The sequence below is a fragment of the Homo sapiens genome, chromosome 3 (assembly GCF_000001405.40).
Source record: "Homo sapiens chromosome 3, GRCh38.p14 Primary Assembly".
Lineage (NCBI taxonomy): Eukaryota > Metazoa > Chordata > Mammalia > Primates > Hominidae > Homo > Homo sapiens.
This window is the reverse complement of record NC_000003.12, coordinates 63,608,381-63,617,326: the sequence shown is the minus strand read 5'-3', so window position 1 is coordinate 63,617,326 and position 8,946 is coordinate 63,608,381. Positions and strand designations below refer to the sequence as shown.

Here is an 8,946-nt window from a genome sequence, read left to right as displayed (position 1 = left end):
ATCTCTCCCACCTTGTCCTTGCTAAACCATGTGTAGTCTTGAGGTCTGAAGCTTCTTGACTTCTCCCTAACTAGTTCAAACCTCTCTGACAGATGTACCTGTGGAATCCTGTGCCTCTGTTTGTTGCACTCAGCTTAACTGGGGTGTGATTATTTTAATGCCTGTCTCTCCTAATAGAGTGTAAGCTTCTTAACATACTGCCTGTTTTTGTTTTTTACTACTGCATTACCAGTGGCATGCACAGTGACAGGTGCATAGAATGGTGGAATGAATGAACAAACCTCACTGGGCTCATGAAACAAGGACAGGGTGACAGATTGGAGACACTGTGCATTTAACCCTTGTTTGTCATTGTTAAAGCCAACCAGGTTCTACTGTTGTAATTGTTCACTGTCCAGCCAGCACTGTATGCAATAACTTTATTAACATCAAATAGATATCACAATACAGTTTTATCCAACGGGATTCAGAAACTGGTTACAGATATCATCTAAGACACAAGGCTGTTTTGTGCTAAAATGCTTCCAACATCACTAATCACGCAACGAGTTTATACATCAATAACAACTTTTATCTGGAAATACAGATGCTCAGCTTGCCCTCTCTATTGGGTCCTGGTGTTTCAGCTGAGTTAAAACGAGGAAGTGACGATTGACATTTTCTTGATAATGAATACATTCTGGAGAATATTTCATGAGAACTCTCTTTGGGGTACAGAGTGGCATATGGAAGCCATTTTTAATTTAGGGGCTACACTAAAATCAGAATTAGTAAGTTTAGCTGTGACTTGAGAATTTTTAATAATTACATTGAGGAGCATATTAGCTTTACAAATAAACAGGATTTAAAAATATAGCTGGTAGTAGAGGTTCTACAGAATATTCTTTATAAATAAATACTTCAGCAAGGCGGTACCTTGACTATGGTATCTATATCTGCATCTCCATTATTCTAAGAAAACAACACTCCATAAACACAAAGAGTTATTGGGCCGTGTTATTTATGGTCCACAAGATAAGAGCCACAAAACACCATAGAAGGTTACAAGAATGCAAATATTTAGCTAAGTAAATAGAATAAATATTGGGCAGTTATCATATGTAGCACTAAATGTTTACTAATGGGGGAAAAGAAAAACTTAAATTTTAATTACAATGCATTCAGAACTTGGGTAAAGCCAGAGAGACAAATTTGCAAAGTATACAAAGTAGTGAATATATTCCTATAAATATCCATTTGACAAATTCATGGTGCAAACCAGAAAATTTTCATAAACACAGTTCAAATGTTCATTGTGTGGGAAAATGCTTATTCATGCACTTAAATCATATGATTTATCACATAAAAAAAGAATAATTTTCTGAAACAAATAACTTAGAGACTCATAGTCCTATAGGACTTAAAACTAAAAAAAAATAAGACATGCATGTTGTGATACACCAAATTGTCTTCTAGAAATTATTATAACATCTTTCACATCAAAATGCATAAGAAAACTCAACGCTATTTGATTTACTTTATGCATATTACATACTAGAGACTTTAAGCTACAAAATACTTCTACTACTTTAACATACATACAAAATGACCATGAAAGTATCTGTATATATAACAAGGTACTCTCCAATTAGCCATCTATGATGAATAATATATCTCCTCATGTCGCCTCATCTCTAAGTATCATTTTTCACAACCCAGGACTTGCTGCCTTAATGAAGACTAGAGAGCTCTGATTTACATTCAATACTCTCTGCATTAATAATTGATTGAAACCCTTAAAAAATTCTTCTGCCACTGAAATGGAAGATGGTGAGGCGACTGCAGAAGAATGCAAATGCTACTCTGTTAAATCTGATTGGTAAAGGAAGTGGGGCCAGTAGGCTGTTGGCCAAACTCATCTGAGGTTGGCCCCAAACTCGCCTGCTGACTGTACCCACTGCTTGATCCATAGCTGTCTTGGTTGTAACCACCTTGATTATAGCTGCTGGAGTGCTTCTCCATTGGATCTGAAAGATATCTCTGTCCCGAAGAATGCCAGCCGGTCTCCTTGAAAACAAACCATATGTTTCCAGCCCAGAGAATAAAGTTCAAGAATCCAAAGACCTGAAGGAGAATCAAAGCCAATGAATTGATAGACTAGACAAAAACCCAAGAAAAATTTCAATTTTGGAAAAATCCTTCACAATACAAAAGATCACTTTTCACTTTAATGTTGAGTCCGCTTCCAAGTTTTCCATTTGGAACCGGTATTTCATTTAGAATATTTGACCTTTATTAGACGCACTACATGTCAGGCACTACATAAAGGGCTTTATGTGTATCAATTCACTTGCTCTAAGAATCAGTCTAGGAAAAAGTTGCTATTGTCATACCCACATTAAAGATGTGGAAAGCTTGTCTAAGGTCGCGTGGCTTGCTGAGTAGTAGATCTGTGATCCAAACTCTCTTCTGGTTCCATAACTGGAAACCTTACTTAAGGCATCACTTATTCTCCAAATAAAGTATCCTTCATGGTGTGTAAGATTATTTCCAGATGGCACAGGGTTGAGAATTTTCACTTTAATAATGGTGCATTCATTTATAAGGCTATCTTCTCTTTATGGTTAGAGATACTGCTTTTGCTTTTCCATTTGTTGTAATCATATAAAGAAAGTGAGTCAATTAAAAATATAGGGTAAGCAATGGTACAGGTGATATGCAAATAAGCATATGCATGATAGCATATTGAGAGGTTGACTGTTCGAATAATTGCACTTTCTGTGCCTCTCACAGGGATAAGTGAATGTTGAAACCAGACTGTGAATAAAGTGCAGGTTTCAGAGAAGTATAAAATATTTTCTTAAGAACTGGATGTGAAACTTTCCTATGGAAATTCCTCTTACTCTCCAGGAGGGTGTCAGTGAGCCAGAGGACTGGGTGTCGCCTCCCCAGGGCCTCAGGTTTGATGGAAGCAGAACGGTTTGCTATTGCATGAGGCCCGAACAGAAGTCCTCATTCCATGACTTGTTCTGCAGCCTTTTCCAAGGCTGGTTGATTGACTTGGGAATTAACTACAGGCAGTCTGTTTTAACAGCCCCCTAATGGAGACAGGTAACAGTAGTATAACGCAAAGCTGTGATAACATTAAAGTATATTTAGTCATCACCCCCTAGCGTGACGCTGACCAATCAAAATGGACTTGGGCAGTGGCCACGGTCCTGGAGTAGGGTGCTGGAAGTCCTTTGCTGGGTCAATATCTATCCCTTAGTTTCTGGACAGTGAGATGATCCACAGTGGCCTGTGGGTAGTGGTGGCAGAGGGGGCACTGGTGTAGTCAAGAAGCTGGGCCTTGGAGACTTGGATCTGAGACTATCAAAATATTTCAATATTTTAGCAGCACATGAATGGAATCTTAGGCTTGGAGAAATCTCTATAGGCTTTGAAATCAAAGGCACCCTGGGGACTGTACTTTCTTGCCCTGCTACCTGGGACAAGGCATTTAGTCTGTAGACTTCATTTTTGTTTTTGTTTTGTTTCTTGTATGGAATGGAGACAAGAATTCCTTTCTTGGAAGGTAGTTGGGAGGATTAAAGAGGATGTGTGTAAAGTAGCTGGACAGTGCTGGACACATTAGCAAATACTTACTAAATGGTAAACTATGCTCTGAATCATTTTCTAAAACATTTCTGTGAATTGTACTTTGCAGACTTTTTTTTTTTTTTTTTTTTTTTTTTTTTGCTGCAGCATAAATTGAACTGAGGCACAAACAGTGAGACGATGTTCTTGAGACAATAGCCAAAATCAAGACTCTAGGCCCCCAACTGATCTAATTAAAGACTGGTTTGTACAGACCTCCCTCCTTCTTCCTTCTCTCCTCTTGCATCCTCTTTCCTTACTTTTTACACTAATTGAGAACCTATTTTGTGCCATGCTCTAGGCTACCTGCTGAGGGAGATACAAAACGTAAATAAGGTATAATAGTTGCTTGAACAAAATAAATTAGTTAACTACTGACAAAACTCTAATTTGCATACAGGACCATTTTACCATGTGCATGGTAACCAGAATATTTTCCGTTAAAAGGGGGATCTTGATTAAATTGCACCTTTACAAGTGTATGTCAATATAAGAGTATAAAAAATTATTGAGGTGCCTGGGCAACATAGCAAGACCTTGTCTCTTAAAAAAAAAAAAATTAGCTGAGCATGGCAGCACATGCCTGTAGTCCCAGGTACTCAGAAGGGGTACTTGGAAGGCTGAGGCAGCAGTATCCCTTGAGCCCAAGAGTTCCAGGTTATAGTGAGCTATGATTGCACCACTGCACCTCCCACCTGGGTGACAGAGCAAAACCCTGTCTCAAAAAAAAAAAGAAAAAAGGAAACAAAAGGAAAGGAAAACAGAAAAGGAGAGGAGAAGAGAGGAGAAGAGAAGAGAGGAGAGGAGAGGAGGGGAGTGGAGGGGAGGGTGGGGGAGGGGAGGAAAAATTATCAAGGGATCTTTTCAGTCATGGCTCTGTCCAGGGATGTAATTTTAGCTATTTCCTATCTATTGATCTTTCTCTTTTCCCTGTTACTATTTGGATTTTAAAAAAGAAAAACTTAGACATCAAGGAAATGCTACTTAAAAGTAAGAACGTAAACAAGGCATTTCAATGGGCATATTTAAGGAGTACTGATTTTTTACTCTAGCATCACAGATCTCTTGGCTGGCACATTTTAGGGTCACTTGGGCCCTTGAACTCTTTTTTGCTATTTTGTTGGAACTGAAATTGGGGTAAGAATGTGATTCAAGCTCAGACTTGGGGACAACAGAAAGAGAGATTGAAAGAGACTGTACATAACATGCAAACAATGGGGAGACAAGATCTAGATCGTCTAAAAAGATGTACTAAGATTTGTCTGGAGTGAAGCTGGAGAAGCAGAAGTTGAAATTATGGCCAAACTATTTGTGCTCAGTGAAACTTTGAAAGAAATTGAGAGACTAAAAACATTATTTCTTCCTTCTGTATTTAGGCTCTAACACTGTATGACATTTGGGAATGACCGTATTTTAGTAGCCATTTTCAGTTGACATGTATTGACCATTTGCCATAAGCTGGGCATGATGCTAAGTATTTTTTTTATAGATTATCTCACTGAATTGTTTCAACAGTATTGAGGTCTGTTGTACAATTATCCCCACTTTACAGATGATAAAACTAAGGATTAGAGAGTTTACCTTAGCTCCCAGTATTTGTAGTATCTGGATATCTTACCTACATTTTAGTGTTACTGTAAAATTATAGGTGCCAAAAAGTGCTTTGAAGATAGTAAATTTGTTACCAAGGTAGAGAATATGACTATTATTTCCTGACTCATTTACTTGTAGAGGTCATTTATTGTGGTATGGGTATGCCTCCTACTCCAAAACCTATGTTTGCCCAGTAAAGTGTGTTCTCTGAGTCACGTTTCTACTACATCATCCTCCAAACCCTCTATTCATAACTGATGAGACTGAGGTGGGCATCTGGCCTAAGGTGGGCAAAAGAGATTCTCTCTACCAGAAATTTGCAACTGGACCTGAGTGATTTTCATTCAGTCCAAGCCGTTCAGTCTTTAAAAAATACATATAAACTTAGAAACTGCAGAGTGGCTATCTTCTGCTGTGTGGATGAAAAAAAAGAAATAAAGTTTCACCTGAAAAGAGAGAATAATGTAACAAACATGCAGAAAGGGACAGGGACACAGAAAGAAAGAGAGATGAGAGATGGAGGATGAGAACTGTCCAGCTTCCTGGCAGCCTTCCAGTTCTTGGCTGTTGGGTTTTGCCCTGGGAAGACACACTTTTAATGTCTTTCCAACTATTTTCAGTTTTTGCATAAGCTAGCTCAGTATGATTTGAAGCCAAACAATTTGTAATAAAAATATTGTGTTTTGGTTCATTAATGTCCTTTCCCCTGCTTTTGGTAATAGAAATCTGATTTTCTTTGCAGAGCCAAGTTTCGGTCAAATGGCTTGAGCTCTCTCCTGGAACTTTGCATTTTGAGCAGAGCAATGCAAGGTTAGGTAAAACTTTCCACTAATGGCAACTCTAAGAAACAATTATTTGGTACTGAACATCTAGAACTCTCATTCTGCTCTAGATTCTGCTCTTTCTAGAACCTGTTTCTTCAGGTTTCATCAAGTTGTATGAGCGACTTAATATCCTTCCAAATACTTTTTTCCTGTTGTAGTTAAAATCAGCTTTGATTATTCTAATGCATACAAACATTGGTACCAGAAGTGGACTGCAAAAACAGATTTTAGGGATATGAGGATTGGTTTGCCTTAGCCAGTTTGAATTGAGTTTTCTGTCACTAGGAACTAGAAGACTGTTAACTGATATGGATACATCACTACAGCACCACTGGACCTGTCCTTTCACACACATCACATTATTTGGTTTCAATTCATTCTTTATTTTGGTTTTAGGAGACACATCACATTGTTTTTCATTCATAATTTCCATCTTTTAGTCTAAAAATTATTAGATATATCAGAAGTGGAATTAGAAGAACCATGCAGAACGTCATAATTTATTGGGAGATTAGTTATTAAACTAACAAACATATCAAGCAATTTTATTTTTGTCCTGTTAGATTTTGAGATCAGGGTTTTAATAGCTTTCATTAAATACTGTCTATAAACAAACTACAGAAGTATAAGTAAATATGGTAACGTATACCTCAAAGTGTTCATTTACAAGTGTGGTCAGCAATGAATAAAAATTATTGTGAGACCCTAATGCAGAGCTTATTTTCATGGTTACTATCTCACCAAAGCAGAAATCACAGTCCAGTCAGAGTAGCAACCCTTTCTCTCTTCTTAAGTGCCTTCGCAGATTGAATTTCAGAAAGCTGTAGAAACACAGGTTAATCTTGAAGCAAAGATAATTATTTCTAGGATGTGCTAAAGAATGTTCTTTCAGCAAACACTGCTGAGCCTTCTATTCTTCGATAACCGCTGCTTTTTGCTGCCATTATAGCTTATGTATTTCTCAGATACAGCTTCTTTCTTTGGAATAATAACAAATTCTTACACTTATAAATTAAAAATCCAATTTAGTGTCCCTGCTAACTGTCAGATTTTCTCTTTTCTTGTAAGAGCCATAACTCTTGATGATAACATTTGACTTTGTTCAACTAATACAGTGCAGCTTTTCCGAAGTTATAAAGTAACTAAACCGGAAGCATGGAGAAAATTCAAAAATTACCATAGCTATTATAAGTACTTTTTTACATTCTGAATTTATTTTTTCACCCTACTAGGTCTGTGTATTTTTCTCTAATCAGTTGGGTGTATTCCAGCTACATGTGGCTTGAACAGTGTTTTCTCCCCAGGAACTTGTATGCCCTCAAATATTCCTTTTAACTTTTGTCTGACTTCAACCTTAAAGTTCAGGTTTTTTTGTTTTTGTTTTTGAGACCGAGTCTCACTCTGTTGCTCAGGCTGGGGTGCAGTGGCCTGATCTTGGCTCACTGCAACCTCCGCCTCCTGGGTTCAAGCGATTCTCATGCCTCAGCCTTCCGAGTAGCTGGGACTATAGGCATGAGCCACCGTGCCTGGCTAGTTTTTTTTGTATTTTTAGTAGAGACAGGGTTTCACCATGTTGGCCAGTCTGGTCTTGAACTCCTGATCTCAGGTGATCCTCCCACCTTGGCCTCCTAAATTGCTGGGATTATAGGCGTGAGCCATTGCGTCCGGCCAAAGTTCAGATTTTATATTTGCTTCTGGCTTAGAGTTTCAACTGGACTGTCACCTAAGCAGCAGCTGCCAATACCTGCGGGGTTCTTAAGAAAAACTCCTTAATCGGCAACATTACAAATGATGGATTCTGACAATAAGAAACCTGAGGGCCAAGTGATCATCCTGTACCTGAGGTGAAGTATCTCACCTTTTGATTGGCCTAGTTTTGTAGGCAACAATTTTCAAGATGACTTCTGAGATGTTTTTCTTATTATTTTGACTGGCAAACAAAGATATGAACAGTAAAGCATAGATGAAAAATACTTACCACAGAAGTGTTTAAGCTTGACATAACAGGGCTGTGGATAGCCATGCATTTGTTGGATGGCTGTTTGCAAGCTGACATTAGTAGCAATACTTCCTTGGGATCCGTTGCAACTTTGACGTCAGACAGTCCTTTTGCCCAAGCTGATGAACCCACCAACCACAAGAACGAAAAGACTACAGTGACAATGAAGTCCTACAGAAACAAATCAGAATAGAAAATGGTAAAAGAAAATGTGAGTTCTAGAAACAAGTTGATTTGTTTATATAACTATTTGGTTTGCCTTTTGGAAAATTTTAAGATCCCATAGCACTGGAAACAAGGAAAACATTTAGAAAAACAAATAAAAGAAAGCCTTATGATATTATATTTATCTTTCTATAAAATAAATAATAATAGTAATATTTATTAAATGCTTACTATATCCCAGGAATGATGCTAAGGACTTTATAACCCACACCTAATTGTTCCTACAACATCCCTGTAAGGAATGGTACATCATCCTATTTGCAGATGTCAAACTAACATAGAGAATGGTTGAATAGCTTGTCTGAGATTTCACAGATAATTCATGATGGCATCAGGATTCAAACCCAGGCAACCTGAATATTGAGTCCAAGTTCTTAACCACCAAGCTGTCATGATTCCAAACCTTTAGACAGATCTGCTAATGGTTTAAGATTCTTTGATGGCAATGTTCACTCATTCATTCATTCATTCATTCGTTTGTTCACTTAACAAACCAATGTGTTATCTATATGTTATTGGTTAACCAATATGTTAACCAATGTGGAACTATGTTATGTGGAAGACAATAAGAGCTGTAATGTTTTTGAGTGCCTGCTATGGGTGAGAGGTTTTGTATAAAATTATTCTTACAATAATCATATTAGACAGTATTCTTATGCCCATTTTAAAGAGGAGAAAACTGAAACTCAC

At 37.6% G+C, this 8,946-nt stretch overlaps 1 protein-coding gene across 4 annotated transcripts in view; it reads right to left on the bottom strand.

Annotated features, from left to right (window-relative positions):
- Window positions 1–402: 402 nt before the first annotated feature.
- Window positions 403–8,946, bottom strand: part of SYNPR (synaptoporin) — a 416,321-nt gene continuing 407,777 nt past the window's right edge. For 3 of the 4 annotated variants that reach the window (XM_017005731.1, NM_001130003.2, NM_144642.5), the window contains 2 exons: window positions 8,011–8,202; window positions 403–2,103 (listed from right to left, as the gene is read on the bottom strand). In XM_017005731.1, the coding sequence (XP_016861220.1) occupies window positions 1,846–2,103; window positions 8,011–8,202 (450 nt within the window). In that variant the 3' untranslated portion in view covers window positions 403–1,845. Of the gene's footprint in view, window positions 2,104–2,152; window positions 6,854–8,010; window positions 8,203–8,946 lie in introns of those variants that run through there. The other variant, XM_017005732.3, reaches the window with a different exon arrangement.